The following is a 21,037-nucleotide window of genomic DNA, read 5'->3' as shown; positions in this document are numbered from 1 at the left end:
ATTTTTTAAATGATGTTATATTGAAGTCTATAAAACACGAAGACTTTCTGAGATTTTTAGCCATAAAGAAACAACAATGTCCATAGCATATCCAATGCTATACTAAGAGCAATGACCAGGATGTGATTAAGACTTTCAGAACACCTAAACTCCATCCGATGTAAAAGGCTGCAAATGGCTTTTAAAACCATTATTTTCAGAGGAAATTCTTAACATGAAAACTTAAACATTTTAACTGTATGAACAGAAATAACACACTGAAAAAAGTAAAGAGAGAAAAATTTAAAAATAGGAAAGATATATGAATAAAGGTTTAAAATAGAGAAGACTGGGCCACTCTTCTTGTTCTTTCTGTCTTTGCCTCTCCCTGCATTAAATTATTCACATAAATTCTCCTTCCCTGCAAGAAGCTGTCAATGAAGTTCTTGGTTTCTGGCTCCAGTTGGTGGCTATTGCTTAAAATGCAGTATTGTCTTTGGGAAAAAAAGCAGTCAGATAAAGTAAATAAATGATAATTGCCAAGATAATCTATAGGAATTTGAGAGTTCTTAGAAGAGCATTTTATCCAGGCTATTATTTCAAAACAATATAACACACCTAAACAGAGAAAATAAATAATAGCAGAAGTGTTAAGTGTTCAAACTTTGGGGTCAGAGGGTTTTATTCTGAATTCTGCCACTTCCTAGTTTACTCGAATGAATGAGTTAACCTCTCTAAGCCACAGACTCATAATTTATAATATAGGAATAATATTATAATGAATTAAATTGTATTCACATGTCACATGTAAGTAAACATATATATTAATATTAATGCTGCCTTATAGGATTGTTTAGAGGACTAACTGAAGTACAACAATAATGTTTAACATGGCATTTTGCACATAAGCACACAATAAATATAAATTATTATTAGATTTATGCTTCTAACAACATCGTCTTCTAAAGTGTAACAATGAAGCAACTGGCTACTTTTGCATGATAACAAGGTTTTGACTCCAATTTTAATAATAAACACTACAATTTTCAAGTATCAATTCTGCACCTGGTGCCCTATATACTGCATCTCATTTAATTCTCGAAGAACTCCACTATATTAGTCTGTTCTCACACTGCTATGAAGAAATACCTGAGACTGGGTAATTTATAAAGTAAACAGGTATAATTGACTCACAGCTCCACATTGCTGGGGAGGCCTCAGGAAACTTACAGTCATGGTGGAAAGAAAAGGAGAAGCAAGGACCTTTTTCACAGGGTGTCAGGACAAAGTGAGCAGGGGAAGCAGGGGAAATGCCAGATGCTTATAAATCCATCAGATCTCATGAGACTCATGCACTGTCATGAGAACAACATGGGGGAAACCTCCCCCATGATCCAATTACCTCCACCTGGTCCTGCCCTTGATACATAGGGATTGTGGAGATTACGGGGATTACAATTCAAGGTTAGATTTTGGGTGGAGACACAACCAAACAATATCATCCACTGAATAAGTATTATCATTCTCACTGTATAAATTAGAACCCTGAACTCTAAGAAGTTAAATAACTTTCTCAGAGTTTCACGGGTTGATACTGTAAAAACTGGAATTAAATTCAGAGAGCTCTGATTTCATAGTCCATGTTATAGGACAAAGATAGCAGATAGGTTTTAATTCAAATTTCAAATTGGGAACACAAAAAAAAATCCATCAAAAGTCATGTCAAAAGGATTTAGAATAGCATTTGAGAGGGCTCATACTGGCCAAAAATGACAATCTCAGCATCAAAAACAATAATGGCTACCATAGTTTAAACACATAAAATGTATTAAAAATCAAGGGTGTATTTTAATTCTCTTATTTTTAAAAAATTCACTTCACATTTTTTGGAAGCTACTATGGCACCAGCTCATTATTCTGAAAACTTGTGAATAAAGGGGGAAAATAAGCATTTATTTTGCTTTTTCACTTTGAGTGAATGCGGTATCTATTTCCCCTGAAAATATCCACGGGAAAGCATTCCAGGCAAGTGAATATGCCTGGCATATTCAAGAAACAGCAGCGGGGCCATGTGGCTGGACCCTCAGAAAAAAAGGAGAGAGTATTGTGAGATGACGTCAGAAGGCAAATCGGGGTGGGAGTTCGTGTAGAGCCTTTTGGGCCATTATAAGATTTTTGGCTTTTACTTTGAGGGTAATAGGGAGCTATTGCAGGGTTTTGAATACGGAAATAACACAATTCAACTTGTAGGTTAATAGCGTCACTCTGCTGTGCTGAGTCTAGGCTGGGCGTGGGTGCGGGGCGGAATGTGAAAGCAGAGAGTTCAGTTAGGAGGTTTAATATAGTTTGGATGTTGTCTCCACCCAAATCTCATGTCGAAATGTCATCCACAATGTTAGAGGTAGGGCCTCTTGGGAGATGACTCAATTATAAGGGTGGATTTCCCCCTTGGTACTGTCGTTGTGATAGTGAGTGACCTCTCTTGAGATCTTGTCATTTAAAAGTGTTTAGTATCTTCCCCCCTCATTTGCTGGCTCCTGCTTTTGCCATGTGAAGTGCCTGCTCCCGTTTTGCCTTCCGCCCTGGGTAAAAGCTCCCTGAGGCCTCCCCAGAAGCAGATGCTTCCATGCTTCCTGTACAGCCTGCAGAACCGTGAGTCAATTAAACCTCCATAAGGCTTTTTATGACCCCAATAAGGGCAGCTTTAGTGGCATGGTGAAGGTGAAAGGCTGATTAGAGAGGGTTCAAGAGTGAAGGAGAGGAGAGAAACTTCTGTTTGATTTGGTTTGGTTGTTTGTTTTCACGATTGGAGAAATAATGTCATGCTTATATTAGAAACATGAGAAACATACAGAAGAGAGAGAAAGAAATTATCAGTGTGGGAGAAGGAGGAGGAAAGTTGCTAGAGTGATGTCATTGGGTAGGCAATAGTGGATGGAAAAGGTTGGCTCTTGGTTTTTGACATGCTTTCCTCACTAAGCTTCATCATTTCTGGTTTTTCATTTAAAGCAAGAGACATGTGAGTCTTCCTTTCACTTGAATACTTAGAAATGCCATCGTAGTGATATTAATTGGCCTAATTTCAACAGTGTGTCTCAGGTAACAGAGAGGTCTCAGAAGGAGAGAGATGAGGGAACAGCGGGTCAGTAGAGAAGTCAGAACCCCCACAATATTCATCACTTAATTTCCCTTTTATATAGGCATCGTTTGTAGCACGTCAAAACAATTACAATAGTAATATCAAAGATGACTAATCACAGATTACCATAATAGACATAATAATAATTAAAAAGTTGAAAATATTGCAAGAATTACCACAATGAGACACAGAGACACAAAGTGAGCACATGCTGTTGGTAAATGGCACCAATAGACTTGCTCGATGCAGGGTTACCACAAAATTTCACTTTGCAAATATATATATAATAACTACAAAGTGCAATAAGATGAAATGCAATTAAATGAGGTATCCCTGTATAATTTGCAATATTCGGGTTATACTTGTACTAAGAAATGATTCATTGTTTCTCTGAAATGCAAATTTGGCTACGGGTTTTATATTTTTATTTGCTACACACTGCAATCCTAACTAAAAGAGGTAGCAGGTCTGCTCTCACTCATCCCTTGCCTTCTTACCCTACTGCATTCCTACTACCTCACCTATATTATTCTGCCAATATGAGTAATTGTCAGAAAGGCAGGTAGGCCACAGGAGGAAGTGAAAGAGGGAGAGACAGATGAGAGAGCAAGAGAAGAGAGAGGGAGGAGAGTGGGAAAAGAAGAGAGGAAGGAAATCAGAGGGAAGGAAAAGAAAAAGACAGAGGAAGAGACCCAAGATGAGAAATGATATGACAGCTATGAGGAACTGAAAGAAATCTAGTATGGCTGGAGTGGAGTGATCAAGGGAAGAGTATTAGGAGATATGGCTAGAGAGAAAGCAAAGGAGAACTGACCAGCTATACCCAGAAGTCACATGGATGCCATTGTGAACATGTCTAAGGTCACAGTTGCTTCCTGTTTGTGTCTGGTAAATTATTGCTAATAAAGTCTACCATAGCTGCTGAGAGCAGGGCTCCCAGAGCACTCACCACTGTGGAGCCTCTTCTGGGCACTATCACACGTGAGCTACTAATGCCTAGGTCCACAAAGAGACAGCTGGAAGATCTCATCTGCCCGCATCACCTGTGAATGCATCCTTATGTGGTAAGTAAACTCAATAGCTTTCTTAAATAAAAACTTTTTTGCTTTAGAAGAGTTTCAGACTTACAGAATAGTTGCAAAAATAGCACAGAGTTTCCCCATGCCCCCTACAGAGATTCCCCTTTTGTTAACATCTTACATTTGTATGATACGTTTGTCACAACTAATGAACCAATATTGATACATTATTATTAATGAAAGTCCATACTTCATCCTGATTCCCTTAGTTTTTACCTAATGTCCTTTTTTAATTCCAGGATATAATATTACATTCATTCGCCAGACGCGGTGGCTCATGCCTGTAATCCCAGCACTATGGGAGGCCGAGGTGAGCGGATCATGAGGTCAGGAGATCGAGACCGTCCTGGCTAACACGGTGAAACCCCATCTCTACTAAAAAAAAAAATACAAAAAATTAGCCGGGCGTGGTGGCGGGCACCTGTAGTACCAGCTACTCAGGAGGCTGAGGCAGGAGAATGGCGTAAACCCAGGAGGCGGAGCTTGCAGTGAGACGAGATCACGCCACTGCACTCCAGCCTGGGTGACAAAGCAAGACTCCATCTCAAAAAAAAACAAAAAACAAAAAAAACACAATACATTTATTTATTTATTTATTTTAGAGACAGGGGCCTCACTATGTTGCCCAGGCTGGTCTCAAACTCATGGCCTCAAGCGATCCTCCCACCTTAGCCTTCCTAGGCACTGGGACTACAGGAATGAGCCACTGTGCCCAGCACCATCCCACATTTAGTCATCTTGTTTCCTTAGTCTCCTCTAAACAATGACAGTTTCTCAGACTTTGCTTCTTTTGAACAATCTTCACAGTTTGAGGAGGACCAGTGAGGTATTTTGTAGAATGTCCCTTGGGGTTTTTCTCATGACTGGACAGGGATTTATGAGTTTGGGGGAGAAAGACCATGAAAGTAAAGTACGATTCTCATTACACCATATCAAGGGTATGTATTTATGAACATGATTATTATCACTGTTGGTGTTGACCTTGATCACCTCTCTGAGGTAATGTTTGTCAGGTTTCCCCGTTGTGAGATTACTCGCTTTTCCCCTTTTTCATACTGTATTTTTGTAAAGGAAGTAACTATGCACAGGCCAGACATGGTGGCTCGCGCCTGTAATCCCAGCACTTTGAGAGGCTGAAGCGGGTGGATCACCTGAGGTCATGAGTTCGAGACCACCTTTGCCAACATGGTGAAACCCCGTCTGTATGAAAAATACAAAATTTAGCTGGCATAGTTAATCCCAGCTACTCAGGAGGCTGAGGCAGGAGAATCGCTTGACTCCGGGAGGTGGAGGTTACAATGAGCCAAGATCCCGCCACTGCACTCCAGGCTGGGCGACAGAGTGAGATTCCATCTCAAAAAAAGAAAAAAAAAAAGGAAGTAATTATGTACAGCCCACACTTCAGAGGTGGGAAGTTATGCTTTGCCTCCTTGACAGCAGAGTATTTACATAAATTATTTGCAATGAGCCTGCACAAAAAATTTGTATATTCTCCCTCATTTTATTCAATCATTTCTTTATAACGATATGGCCTCATAGATATTTATTTTATAGTTTGGGTTAGAATCCAGTACTATGTTATTTCATGACTCATATTGTTCCAGTTTTGGCCATTGGGAGCTCTTTCAGTTGGCCCCAGTGTCCCTTTGATATACCCCATTGTGTGGTTTTTATTTCAATAAGCACTTCCTTGCCTTCTGGCATTACAGGATGCTACAGGATCATCCTATATAGTCCCAGATCCAGCTCTAGAATAATCTATTTCACTAAGGAGCTGGTTCCTTCATGGAACAGTCTTAGAAGCCAAGATCTGGGTGCTGGGTGTGTTAATTTCTTGTGGGGTGTAATTGCTTCTGGGCCCTCTTAGCTGACAGAGCAAGGGAAAATATGTGTGTGTACTAACCCACTTATATACACATATTTATAAATAGTTCCGTATGTATCAATCTGTATGGATGTTAAGCTAAATATGAGTTTATACAGATTAATCCTTGACCACGTGGATCATTTCAGCCTTTGCCTCCCTGCTGTCTGTAACCTTCCACTCCAACAATCAGAAATCTTTGTTCCCATCCATCATTCATTTACATAATTCCAGTATACATTTATAGTGACTTCAGAAATGTTAACTCAGTCCAGCATGAGAAATTACTTTACCAAGTAGAGTGTGATGCTCAGGTACAGTTCTTTTGCTGTCAGTCTTAGTCTCCACTCATTCCAAAGCGAGGTTAGTATCTCCTCCCTCCCCATTCCCTAAAATATAGTTTATTTTTTTCTCACAGCCTGCATTCTATCCTAAGATCCCAACCACAAAAATGATTTTTTTAATTGCTAAACTAAGGTTCACTGTTTATGCTGTAAAGTTCTATGAGTGGGTTTTAACCTATACATAATGTCATGTATCCACTATTATAATGCCATGCATAATCATCACCACATTAAAAGATCCCCTGTCTTTCACCAATTCAGCCCTCCCCACTCCAAAAACTTCTGGCAACCACTGATCTGTTAACCATCTCTATAGGTTTCCCTTTCCAAAATGTCATACAGATTGAATTATACAGTATGTTGCCTTTTTCAGACTAGCTTTTCTTTTTCTTAGCAACATGCATTTAAAATTCACCCATTTTGTGGGGGTTGATAGCTCATTCCTTTTTATAGCTGAAGAGTATTTCATTTTATGGATATACAGTTTGTCTATGCACTCCCCTATTCAATGACATATTAATTACTTGCAGTTTTTGACAATTATGGATAAACCTGCTATAAACATTGCAGGTTTTTGTGTGAACATAATTTTCAGATCAGTTTGGTAAATACCTAAGTGCAAGATTGCAGCATCACATGGAAAGACTATGTTTAGCTTTGTAAGAAACTGCCCAATTTTCTTCCAAAGTGGCTGCATTATTTTGCATTCCTACCAGCAATGAGTGAGAATTCCTCTTGCTCTGCATCCTTGCCATCGGTTAGTATTGTAATTTTTTTAAAATTTAGCCATTCTAGTAAGTGCATAGTGGTATCTCATTTCTTTTAATTTGCAATGATAAATGATGTTGGGCATCTTTCCATATACAGATGGTCCCCAACTTAGGATGGTTTGCCTTATAATTTTCAACTTTACAATGGTGGGAAAATGACACATATTCACTGAAAACTGTACTTGGAGTTCCCATACAGCCATTCTGTTTTTCACGTTCAGTACAGTATTCAACAAATTCCATGAGATATTGAACACTTCATAATAAAATAGGTTTTGTGTTAGATAATTTTTCCCAATTGTAGGCTAGTGTAGATGTTGTCAGCAGATTTAAGGTAGGCTGGGCTAAGCTATGATGTTCAATAGGTTAGGTATATTAAGTGCATTTTTTTTACTCACGGTATTTTCAACAACAGATTTATCAAGAGGTAACCCCATTGTAAGTTTAGGGCATATGTATTGATTTGCCATCTATATATCTCCTTTGGTGAGGTGTCTGTTCAGATATTTTGCTAATTCTTCTATTGAGGTAAAATTCACATAACATAAAATTCACAGTTTTAATCATTTAAAGTGTAGAATTTAGTGGTTTTAAGTGCATTTGTAATGTTGTACAGTCATCATCAGTGTCTAACTCCAGAACATTTTTATCACCCACAAATGAGATAGCATACTCATTAAGCAGTTACTCCCTAGTCTATCTTCTCCCCAGCCCCTGGTAAGCATTAATCTGTGCTCTGTCTCTATTTTGAATATTTACTATAAATGGAATCATACAATATGTGTCTTTTGTGTCTGGCTTTTTTCACTTAGCACGTTTTCAAGGTTCAACCATGTCACAGCATGGATCGATAATTCATCTACTGATGAATGGATAAAAATTATAGCATATTCATTCAATGTGATATTTTTCAGCCACAAAATGCAATGAATTACTGGGTTGTTTCTACTTTTTTGGCTATTATGAATAATGCTGCTATGAATATTTGTGTATGTCTTTGTATGAATATATGTTTTCAATTTTTAGGGTATATATCTAGGAGTGGAAATGCTGAGTAATATGGTAATGCTATGTTTAACTTTTTGACGAACTGCTAAATTGTTTTTCCCAGTAACTGTACTATTGTACACTCCCACCAGGAATGTATGAGGGTTCCAATTTCTCTAGACCTTTGCCCACACTTAATTTTTTCTGTTTTTGTTTTTATATAGCCATCCTAAAGTGTATGAATTGGTATATCATTATCATTTTGATTTGCATTTTTCCAATAACCAATGCCATTAAGTATCTTTTCATGTGCGTACTGGCGATTTGTATATCTTATTTGGAGAAATGTCTCTTCAGATCCTTTGCCTATTTATTAATAAAGATGCCTTTTTGTTGAGTTCTAAAATTTCTTTATATATTAAATATACTAGAACCTTATCAGATATGATTTGCAAATATTTTCTTCCATTCTATGGGTTGTCTTTTTATTTTATTGATAGTGCACAAAAGTTTTTAATTTTGATAAAGTTCAATTTTTATCTATTTTTTTGTTTTGTTGCTTGTGATTTGGTGTCATGTCTAAGAATTCATTGCCAAATCCAAGGTCATGAAGATTTACTCCTAGGTTTTCTTCTGAAAGTCTTATAGCATTAACTTTTACACACATCTTGGATTAATTTTGAGTTCATTTTTGTACATGGCGTGAGGATCCACTTTTTTGCATATGGATATACAGTTGTCCAAGCATCATTTGTTGGAATGACTACTCTTTCCCTCATTGAATGATCTTGGCACCCTTGTCAAAAATCAATTGGCCATAGTTGTATGGGTTTATTTCTGGATTCATAATTCTAGTCCATTGGTCTCTATTTATCCTCATGCCAGCACCTGTAGCTTTACACTAAGTTTGAAATGCTTAGTCCTCTACTTGTTCTTCTTTTTCAATATTGTTTCAGCTATTCAGGGTCCCTTGCGATTCCATATGAATTTTAGGATCAGCTTGCTTGCTTTTGCAATAAAAGGCAGATTCTAGAGGTATTGTATTCAATGCATAGATTACTTTGGAAAGTGTGATGATTTTAACAATATGAAGTTTTTTAATCCAACACATAGTAGGCATTTCTGTTTAATTTATTTAATGTCTTTCAGCAATACTTTATAGTTCTCATTGTACAAGTTGCACCTCCTTGGCTAAATTTGTTCTAATGTATTTTGTTCTTTTTGATGCTAGTGTAAATGAACTGTTTTCTTAATTTCTATTCAGATTTGTCACTGCTAGGTTATAGAAATAAGATTGGTTTGGGTGTGTTGATTTTGTATCATACAATGTTTTTGTGTATTCTCTAGAAGATCCTGGATTTTCATGTGATCATGTTATCTGCAAACACTGACAGTTTACTATTCCCTTTCCAAGTGTGGATACCATTTATTTCTTTTTCTTGCCCAGTTGCTCCAGCTAGAATTTCAAGTACAATGTGGTGAAAGCAGGCATCCTTGTCATAATCCTGATCTTAGAAGAAAAGCTTTCAGTCATTCACCATTAAGTATGATGTTATCTGAGGGTTTTTCATAGTTGTCCCGTATAATGTTAAGGAAGTCCCCCCCTTCTAGTACTAGTTTATTGAGTGTTTTTATCATGAAAGGATGTTGGATTTTGTCAAATACTTTTACTTCATCAACTGAGATAATCGTGCGGGTTTTTTCCTTGATTCTCTTAACATTAGGTATTATCTCAATTGAGTTTTGTATGTTGAACCACCTCTACATTCCAGGGCAGGGGCAGGAGGGGACAAATTTCACTTGGTCATGGTGTATAACTTTTGTAATATGCTACTGGAATTGGTGTGCTAATATTTTGTTGAGGATTTTTGCATCTATATTCATAAGAGATATTGATCAATAGTTTTGTTATGATGTCATTTATGGGCTTTCATAGCAGGGTAATATTGGCCTCATAAAATGAGTTAGAGAGTATTCTCTCTCCTCTTCTATTTTTTGGAAGAAATTGAGAAAATTGGTATTAATTATTCTGTAAACATTTGGTAGAATTCACCAACAAAGCCATCTGGATGTGGGCTGAGATTATGGGCACCTGCCACCAGGCCCAGCTAATTTTTGTATTTTTTGGTAGAGATGGGGTTTCACCATTTTGGCCAGGCTGGTCTCGAACTCCTGACCTCAAGTGATCCACCTGCCTCAGCCTCCCAAAGTGCTGAGATTACAGGTATGAGCTGCCACGCCTGGCCAATTTGTTGTCTTTTAAAGATTCAACTTTAGATTTTGTTGATTCTATTGTTTTTCTGTTCATTATTTTGTTTATCCCCACTCTAATCTCTATAATTTCCTTCCTCTGCTTGCTTGCTTGCTTTGGGTTTAGCTTGTTCTTTTACTGTATGTTGGGAGCAAGCCCCCCAAAATCTGGCCATAAACTTGCCCCAAGACTGGCCGTAAACAAAATCTCTGCAGCACTGTAACATGTTAATAATGGCCCTAATGCCTGAGCTGGAAGGCTGTGGGATTACGGGAATGAGGGCAAGGAACACCTGGCCCGCCCAGGGCGGAAAACTGCTTAAAGGCATTCTTAAGCCACAAACAATAGCATGAGCGATTTATGCCTTAAGGGCATGTTCCTGCTGCAGTTAACTAACCCAACCTATTCCTTTAATTTGGCCCATCCCTTCGTTTCCCAAAAGAGATACTTTTAGTTAATTTAATATCTACAGAAGCAATGCTAATGACTGGTTTGCTGTTAATAAATATGTGGGTAAATCTCTGTTCGGGGCTCTCAGCTCTGAAGGCTGTAAGACCCCTGATTTCCCACTTCACGCCTCTATATTTTTGTGTGTGTGTCTTTAATTCCTCTAGCGCCGCTGGGTTAGGGTCTCCCCGACTGAGCTGGTCTCGGCAATTGTAGTTCCTTAAAGTAGTATGTTAGGTTATTGATTTCTTTCCTACTTTTAAACTGTACGTATTTACGCAATAATTTTCCTTAGCACTGCTTGCACTGCATCCTATAAATGTAAGTATGTTGTATTTTCATTTTAATTTGTTTCACGATATTTTCTGATTTCCCTTGTGATTTCTTCTTTGACTATTGGTTAAGTGTGTTGTTTAATTTCCACAAATTTGTCAAATATCTAGGTTTCTAGCTTTATTTCATTCTGGTGAGAGAAGAAGCTCTCTATGCTTTTTCACACTTTTAATTTATTGAAAATTTTTTTTTATATAACATGTGGCCAATCGTGTAGAATGTCTTGTGTGCACTTGATAAGAGTGTGTATGGTCTTGTTAGATGCAGTGCTCTGTAAGTCTCTGAGGTCTAATTGTTTCACATTGTAGCTTAATTCTTTATTTCTTGATCTTCTGTCTATATGTTCTCAACATTATTGAAAGTGGGGTGTTAAAATTTCCAGCTATTATTATTGACCTATCTATTTCTCCCTTTGACTCTATTTTGTTTTGCTTCATATATTTTGGGGTTCTGTTGTTGGGTGTGTATGTTTTAAATTGTTACATCTTCTTGATGGGTTCACTCATTTATTAATATATAATGCCCTTAGTCTATTTGGTCTGATACTAGTATACCCACAGCTGTTCTCTTTTAGTTATTATTTGCATAATGTATTTTTTCTACTCTTTCACTTTCAACCTATTTGTGTTTTTCCACCCAAAGAGTCACAGATAGCATGTAGTTGGAACATTTTTAAAATTCATCCTACTAATCTCTAATTTTTAACTGGAGATTTCAATTCCTTAACATTTAATGTAATTAATGATAAGTGAGGAATTTCTCTGCCATTTCATTTTGATATTTATTTTCTATGTGTCTCACATCTTTTTATTCCTCTATTCCTCCATTACTGCCACATTTGTGTTTCTTCTTTCTTTTTAAAATTTTATTTTATTTTTAACTGACAATAATTATATATATTTATAGAGTACAATGTGATGTTATGATACATGTATACATTGTGGAATGATTAAATCAGGCTAATTAACATATTCATCATGTCTCACACTTATTATTTTATAGTGTGTTGAGAACATTTAAAATCTACAATCTTAGCAATTTAGTAATTCCCAGTGTCTATTGTTGCCATCTTCATGTCCATGAGTACCTAATGTTTAGCTTCCACTCATATGTGAGAACATGTGGTATTTAGTTTTCTGTTCTTCCATTAATTTGCTTAGCATAATGCCCTCCAGCTGCATCCATGCTGCTGCAAAGGATAAGATTTCATTCTTCTTTATGGCTGTGTAGTATTCCACGGTGTATATTTATCACATTTTCTTTATCCAATCCACCATTGATGGGCACCTAGGTTGATTTCATGTCTTTGCTCTTGTGAATAGTGCTGCAATGAGCATGTGAGTGCGTGTGTCATTTTGGTAAAAAGATTCATTTTCTTTTGGTTATATATTCAGTAATGGGATTAGTGGGTCAAATGGTAGTTCTGTTTTAAATTCATTGAGATATTTCCAAACTATTTTCCACACTGACCGAATTAATTTACATCCCCACCAACAGTATATAAGCATTCCCTTTTCTCCACAGTCTTGCTACCATCTGTTGTTTTTGGCTTTTTTAGTAATAGCCATTCTGAGTGGTGTGGGTTTTGATTTGCATTTCTCTGATGATTAGTGATGTGCAGCATTTTTTTAAATATATATATATATTTTATTATTATTATACTTTAAGTTTTAGGGTACATGTGCACAATGTGCAGGTTAGTTACCTATGTATACATGTGCCATGCTGGTGTGCTGCACCCATTAACTCATCATTTAGCATTAGGTGTATCTCCTAAAGCTATCCCTCCCCCCTCCCCCCACCCCATAACAGTCCCCAGAGTGTGATGTTCCCCTTCCTGTGTCCATGTGCTCTCACTGTTCAATTCCCACCTATGAGTGAGAATATGCAGTGTTTGGTTTTTTGTTCTTGCGATAGTTTACTGAGAATGATGATTTCCAATTTCATCCATGTCCCTACAAAGGACATGAACTCATCATTTTTTATGGCTGCATAGTATTCCATGGTGTATATGTGCCACATTTTCTTAATCCAGTCTATCGTTGTTGGACATTTGGGTTGGTTCCAAGTCTTTGCTATTGTGAATAGTGCCGCAATAAACATACGTGTGCATGTGTCTTTATAGCAGCATGATTTATAGTCCTTTGGGTATATACCCCGTAATGGGATGGCTGGGTCAAATGGTATTTCTAGTTCTAGATCCCTAAGGAATCGCCACACTGACTTCCACAAGGGTTGAACTAGTTTACAGTCCCACCAACAGTGTAAAAGTGTTCCTATTTCTCCACATCCTCTCCAGCACCTGTTGTTTCCTGACTTTTTAATGATTGCCATTCTAACTGGTGTGGGATGGTATCTCATTGTGGTTTTGATTTGCATTTCTCTGATGGCCAGTGATGGTGAGCATTTTTTCATGTGTTTTTTGGCTGCATAAATGTCTTCTTTTGAGAAGTGTCTGTTCATGTCCTTCACCCACTTTTTGATGGGGTTCTTTGTTTTTTTCTTGTAAATTTGTTTGAGTTCATTGTAGATTCTGGATATTAGCCCTTTGTCAGATGAGTAGGTTGAGAAAATTTTTTCCCATTTTGTAGGGTGCCTGCTCACTCTGATGGTAGTTTCTTTTGCTGTGCAGAAGCTCTTTAGTTTAATTAGGTCCCATTTGTCAATTTTGGCTTTTGTTGCCATTGCTTTTGGTGTATTAGACATGAAGTCCTTGCCCATGCCTATGTCCTGAATGGTAATGCCTAGGTTTTCTTCTAGGGTTTTTATGGTTTTAGGATGTGCAGCATTTTTGATGTGTTTTTTTGTATGTCTTCTTTCAAGAAATGTCTGTTCATGACTTTTGCCCATTGTTTAATGGGGTTATTTGTTTTTTGCTTATTCAACTGTATAAAGTCCTTATAGATTCTGAATATAGACCTTTGTCAGATACATAGTTTGTGAATATGTTCTCTCATTCTATAGGTGGTCTGTTTAATTTTTGGTAGTTTCTTTTGCTGTGAAGAAGCTCTCTCTTTAGTTTAATTAGGTCCACTTGTCAATTTTGGGGATTTTTTGCAATTGTTTTTGAGGACTTAGTCATAAATTCTTTCCCAAGTTCTATTTCCAGAATGGTGTTTCCTAGGTTTTCTTCTAGGATTCTTAAAGGCTGAGGTCTTACATTTAAATCTTTAATCCATCTTGAGTTACTTTTTGTGAATGGTGAAAGGTAGGGGTCCAGTTTCATTCTTCTACGTATACCTAGCCAGCCATCCCAGTACCATTAATTTAATAGAGAGAACATTCACATTACTTATTTTTGTTAACTTTGTCAAGGATTAGATGGCTTCTAGTGTGTGGCTTTATTTCTGGGTCTACTATTCTGTTCCACTGGCCTATGTGTCTATTTTTGTACCAGTACTATACTGTTTTGATTATGATAATCTTATAGTATAAAGTAGAGTAATGTGATGCCTCTGACTTTCTTCTTTTTGCTTAGGATTGATTTGGCTATTTAGGTCCTTTTTTGGTTCCATATAAAATTTAGAATAGCTTTTTTCTGGTTCTGTGAAAAATGGCACTGGTAGTTTGATAGGAATAGCATTGAGGCCTTGTGCGGTGGCTCACACCTGAATCCTAGCACTTTGGGAAGCTGAGATAGGTGGATCACCTGAGGTCAGGAGTTCGAGACCAGCCTGGCCAACATGGTGAAACCCCGTCTCTACTAAAAATACAGAAATTAGCCAGGTGTGGTGGCACGTACCTGTAATCCCAGCTACTTGGGAGGCTGAGGCAGGAGAATCGTTTGAACTTACAGGGGTGGAGGTTGCAGTGAGCCAAGATCACGTCACTGCACTCCAGCCTGGGTGACAGAGCAAGACTCCATCTCAAAAAAAAAATTAAAAAATAAAAATAAAAGGAAGAGGAATAGCATTAATCTGTAGATTGCTTTGGGTTGTATGGCCATTATAATGACATTAATTCTTCCAATCCATGAACATGGAAAGGTTTTTCCATTTGTTTGTGATTTCTATGATTTCTTTTTCTTTTTTTCTTTTTTTTTCTTTTTTTTTTTTGTTGTTGTTGTTTTTTGATGGAGTCTCGCTCTGTCGCCCAGGCTGGAGTGCAGTGGCACAATCTCAGCTCACTGCAACCTCCACCTCCTGGGTTCATGCCATTCTCCTGCCTCAGCCTCCCGAGTAGCTGGGACTACAGGCACCCGCCACCACACCTGGCTAATTTTTTTGTATTTTTTAGTAGAGACCGGGTTGCACCATGTTAGCCAGGATGGTCTCACTCTCTCCTGACCTGGTGATCCACCGCCTCAGCCTCCCAGAATTCTGGGATTACAGGCATGAGCCACTGTGCCCAGCCTGTGTCATCTATGATTTCTTTTAGTAGTGTTTTGTAGTTTTCCTTGTAGAAATCTTTCACCTCCTTGGTTAAATGTGTTCTGAGGTATTTTATTTTTTGTGTGGCTATTGTAAATGAAATTGAATTATTGATTCGGTACTCAGACTGAACATCATTGGTATATAGAAGTGATATTGATTTTTGTACATCGATTTTTGTATGCTGAAATATTGTTAAAATTGTTTATCAGTTATAGTAGCCTTTTGCAGAGTTTTCTAAATATAGAATCATATCACCAGTGAAGAGAGATAATTTGACTTCTTCTTTTCCATTTGGATGCTTTTTATTTCCTTCTCTTGCCTGATTGGTCTGACTAGCACTTCCAGTATTATGTTGAGTAGGAGTGGTGACAGTGAGCATCTTTGTCTTACTCTAGTTCTCAAGGGCTTCCAGTTTTTGACTGTTCAGTATGATGCTGGCTGTGGGTTTTTCATTGATAGCTCTTATTATTATGAGGTATTTTCCTTCATGCCTAGTTTCTTGAGGGTCATTATCATGAAGGGATATAGGATGTTATCAAAAGCTATTTCCGTGTCTACTGAGATGATCATATGGTTTTTAATTTTGTTTCTGTGGTGAATCACATTTATTGATTTGCATATGTTAGAACCAACCTTGCATCCCAGTAATGAAACCTACTTGGTCATGGTAAATTAACTTTTTGTTGTGTTGTTAAATTCAGTTTGCTAGTATTTTGTTGCAGATTTTTACATCTATGTTTATCAGGGATCTTTGCCTGTAGTTTTCTTTTTCGTTGTGTCTTTGCCAGGTTTTAGTATCAGGGTGATGCTGGATTCATAGAATAAGTTAGGGAGGAGTCCGTCCTCCCCCATTTTTTAGAATAGTTGCAGTAGAATTGGTACCAGCTCTTCTTTGTACATTTGGTACAATTATTTGGTACAATTTGGCTATGAATCTATCTGGTCTGGGGCTCATTTTGGTTGGTAGGTTTTTTATTACTGATTCAGTCTGGGAACTTGATATTGGTAGTTTCAGTGTTTCAATTTCTTCCTGATTCCATCTTGGGAGATTTTATCATTCTAGGAATTTATACATTTCCTCTAGATTTTCCATTTTGCATGTGTAGAAGTGTTCTGAAAATCTTTTATATTCCTGTGGGATCAGTTGTAATGTCAGCTTTGTCATTTCTGATTGTGCTTATTTGGATCATCTCTCTTTTTTCTTTGTTAATCTAGCTAATGTTCTATTAATCTTGTTTATCCTTTCAAGAAACCAATTGTTTTTTTTTTAATTCTTTGTGTGAATGTTTGGCTCTCAATTTCATTCAGTTTTGCTCTATTTTAGTTATTTATTTTCTTCTGCTAGCTTTGGGGTTAGTTTTTTCTTGCTTTTTTAGTTTCTCTAGCTATGATGTTGATCATTAATTTGAGATATTTCTAACTTTTTGAGATAGGCGTTTAATGCTGTAAACTTTCCTCTTAACACCGCTTTTACTGCAGCCCAGAGATTTTGGTATGTTGTGTCTGTTTTTATTAATTTCAAAGAATTTTTTTATTTCTGCCTTGATTTTGTTGTTTTATAAAAAGTAATTCAGGAGTAAATTATTTAATTTCCATGTAATTGTGTGTTGGGGGGGGCTTTTTTTGTTTGTTTTTGTTTTTCGTTTGTTTGTTTTGAGATTGGAGTCTTGCTCTGTCTCCAAGCCAGAGTGCAGTGGTGCAATCTCAGCTCACTGCAACCTCCGCCTCCTGGGTTCAAGTGATATTCCTGCCTCAGCCTCCCAAGTATCTGGGACTACAAGCATGTGCCACCATGCCCAGCTAATTTTTGTATTTTTAGTAGAGATGGGGTTTCACCATATTGGCCAGGATGGTCTCGACCTCTTGACCTCATGATCCACCTGTCTCGGCTTCCCAAAGTGCCGGGATTACAGGCAAATTGTGTGGTTTTGAGAGATCTCCTTGGTATTCATTTCTATTTTTATTCCACTGTGGTCCAAGAGTATAATTGTTAGGATTTTGAGTCTTGTGAATTTATTGAAACTTGCTTTATGCCTGAACATGTGGTCAATCTTGGAGTATGTTCCATGTGTAGATGAGAAGAATATATATTCTGTGTTTGATGAGCAGAGTATTCTGTAGATGTCTATTAGGTCCAATTGGTCAAGTGTCGAGTTTAAGTCCAGAATTTATTTGTTACATTTCTGTCTTGATTATCTGTCTAACACTGTCAGTGGTGTTTTGAAGTCCCCCATTATCATTATGTGGCTCTCTTAGTCTTTCTGTAAGTCCAGAGTACTTGTTCTATAATATGGATGCTCCAATGTTGGGTGCATAGATACTTAGAACTGGTAAATCTTCTTGTTGAATTGAACTCTTTATCATTATGTAATGCCCTTCTTTGCCCTTGTTTACTGTTGTTGGCTTAAAGTCTATTGTATCCAATATAAGAATAACAACCCCTGCTTTTTTTTGTTTTCTGTTTGCATGTTATATCTTTCTCCAACCCTTTACTTTGAGCCTATGGGTGTTACTACATGTGAAATGAGTCTCTTGAAGACAGCAGACAGATGGGTCTTGGTTTTGTTTTGTTTTGTTTTGTTTGACACAGAGTCCTGCTCTGTCACCCAAACTGGAGTGCAGTGATGCAATCTCAGCTAACTGCAACCTCAGCCTCCCAGGCTAAGGTGATCCTCCCACCTCAGCCTCCCAAGTAGCTGACACTACAGGTGCATGCCACCATGCCTAGTTAATTTTTGTATTTTTCATAGGGACAGGGTTTTGCCATGTTGCCAAGGCTGGTCTTGAACTCCTGGGCTCAAGCAATCCACCTTGGGTCTTGTTTGTTTTTTAATTCAACTTGCCACCCTCTGCCTTTTAAGTGGGATGCTTAGGCCATTTACATTCAAGGTTAGTATTGACATGTGAGGTTTTGATCCTATTATGAAGTTGTTAGCTTGTTGCTTTGTAGTTTTTATTGTGTGGTTGCTTTATGGGATCTGTGGGCTATGTACTTATATGTGCTTTTGTGGTAGTAGGTATCATTCTTTTGCTTCCATGTGTGGAATTCCCTTCAGGATCTCTTGTAAGGCTGGTCTAGTGATAATGAATTCCCTTAGTGCTTGCTTATCTAGAAGAGACTTTATGTAGTTTTAACTTATGAAGCTTATATTGTCAAGATATTAAATTATTGGTTGGAATTTCTTTTCTTTAAGAATACTGAATATAGGCCACCAATCTCTCTTGGCTTGTAGGGTTTCTGCTGAGAAGTCTGCTGTTAGCCTGATAGGGTTCCATTTGTACATGATCTGCCCTTTATCTCTAGCTGCCTTTAAGTTTTTTCTTTAGTGTTGACCTTGAACAATCTGGTGACTGTATGCCTTGGTGATGTTTATTTTGTATGGTATTTTCAGGTGTTCTCTGGGTTTCTTGTATCTGGATGTCTCCCTCTCTAGCAAGATTAGAGAAGTTTTCTCAAATTATTCCCTCAAATATATTGTCCAGGTTGTTTACTTTTTCTCCTTCTTTCTCAAGAATGCTAATAATTTCATAGGTTTCATCACTTTACATAATCCCATATTTCTCAAAGACTTTGTTCATTTTTAGAGTCTTTTTTCTCTATTTTTGTCTGACTGGGTTAATTCAAAAGAGCAATCTTCGGATTCTGAAATTCTTTCTTCTGCTTGGTCCAATTTATCAATAAAGCTTTCTATTGTATTTTCAAATTCCTTAAGTGAGTTTTAAAATTCAAAAGCTGTAATTGATTTCTTTTTAAGATGTTTATCTCTTCCTTCACTTCCTGGATTTCTTTATAAATTTCTTTGTGTTGATTTTTGGTCTTGCCTTGGATCTCATTGAGCTTCCTTGCAATCCATGCTTTGAATTCATCTATCACTTCTGAGTTTCCATTTTTATTAGGGATTATTGCTGGAGAGCTAGTGGAATCCTTTGGTGGTGTCACTACATTCATATTTTTCATGGTGCCAAAAGTCTTGCCCTGGTTCCTTGTCATCTGGAGACACTTGCACTTCTAATTTTTGTAATTATTTTCATGTGGGTAGGATTTTTCTTTTTTTTCACTTTCCCTATAATGTTATTTTTTTCTCTTCCTTTTCCTTTACCCCCTTCCCAGTGGGGAGGGGTAACTGTAGTGAATGCTGGGTAGGGTATTTTGACTTTGTTCTATAGCCCTATGCACTTCTTTCAGAATGTTTTATATTGGGCTGTGCAGTTTAGCTTGCAAGCCCATTAGATGGCGCTTATAGGTAAGAGCTGGCTATAGCCAACATGGCTGGGTATATACTTGATCCTTATTTACTGGCAGAAGCTCTCTGTTGCCTCAGGAAATGGTCTGACTTATGGAACGCACAGTGGTCTCAGCTCCCTGCTCAACCCTGGGGAGGTGTAGGGCCATGAAGGACAGGGGCAGGCTTGGCAGGTGCACCTTCTTTTCTCCCAATAGCAGGCACCAGCACCAGCACTGAGGGAGAATCCAGTGGGCAGCCCACTAAGTGCCCAGAGGTGTGCCTAGGCATGATGTTGGGAAAACTTGGCTCCAGATTCACTGCAAGGGGTTTGGAGATGGCCTAAACTTCTAATCCAAGAGAGTGAGTACTCCAGATGCCTAGAGATCTGCCTGGGTGTGTGGCAGAGAGGGCCCCACACACAAGGATCTCTGCACAGGAAGGGTGGGATGACTCAGACTGCTGAATGAGGCAAGCAGGTGCTCTGAATGCCTTAAGGTCTGCCTAGTTGTGTAGCACAGAGGGCCACCCTGCACCAGGATCTCTGCACAGGAAGGGTAGGATGGCTCAGGCTACTGATCCACGTTAGACAATGCTGCAAATGCTTAGAGATCTGCCTGGGTGTGGTACAGAGAAAGTCCCACTGCACCATGATCTATGTCTGGGAAAGGTGGAGTGGCTCAGGCTGCTGAATCACTCCAAGTGGATACTCCTAATGCCTGGAGATCTGCCTGGGCAAAGGACAAAGAGGGCCCCGAATTCCAAGATCTCTGCACAGGAGGGATGGGGTGGCTCAGGCTGTTGGACTAAGCAAGCAGGTGCTCCACATGTCTGAAGATTTGCCAGCGTGTGGAGCAGAGACAGCCCCACTGCACCATGATCTCTTCATAGGAAGGGTGGAGTGGGTCAGGCTGGTAATACAGGTGAGTGAATGCTCTGAAAGCCTGGAGATCTGCCTGGACATGGTGCAGAGAGAGCCCCACTGCACCATGACCTCTGCACAGAAAGGGTGGGCTAGTCTGCTGAATCAGGTGAATGGGTGCTCCAAATGCCTGCAGATCTACCTGGGTATAGAGCAGAAAGAGCCTGCTGCGAAATATCTATGTCCAGGAAGGATGGGAAAATTCAGGCTGCTCATCCAGGCAAGCAGGTGCTCCAAATGCCTGATTTCAGCCCAGGGGTAGAGCAGAGAGGGCCCTGCTCCATCTCTATCTCAGGAGAGCAGGATGGAGGACCCGGCAATGGCAC

At 38.3% G+C, this 21,037-nt stretch overlaps 2 annotated features.

Moving 5' to 3' along the window:
* Positions 19,829-20,328: an enhancer, noted in NCBI's record as "H3K27ac hESC enhancer chr12:46443117-46443616 (GRCh37/hg19 assembly coordinates)". NCBI's record gives its function as "activates a minimal SCP1, AML or CMV promoter by ChIP-STARR-seq in primed H9 embryonic stem cells {active_cell/tissue: H9 hESC(primed)}" and the evidence as "EXISTENCE:reporter gene assay evidence [ECO:0000049][PMID:30033119]".
* Positions 20,329-20,830: an enhancer, noted in NCBI's record as "H3K27ac hESC enhancer chr12:46442615-46443116 (GRCh37/hg19 assembly coordinates)". NCBI's record gives its function as "activates a minimal SCP1, AML or CMV promoter by ChIP-STARR-seq in naive and primed H9 embryonic stem cells {active_cell/tissue: H9 hESC(naive and primed)}" and the evidence as "EXISTENCE:reporter gene assay evidence [ECO:0000049][PMID:30033119]".

This window comes from Homo sapiens, chromosome 12 (genome assembly GCF_000001405.40).
Source record: "Homo sapiens chromosome 12, GRCh38.p14 Primary Assembly".
Classification (NCBI taxonomy): Eukaryota; Metazoa; Chordata; class Mammalia; order Primates; family Hominidae; genus Homo; species Homo sapiens.
Note: the sequence above shows the minus strand (reverse complement) of the source record. Positions and strands in the feature narration are given on the sequence as shown.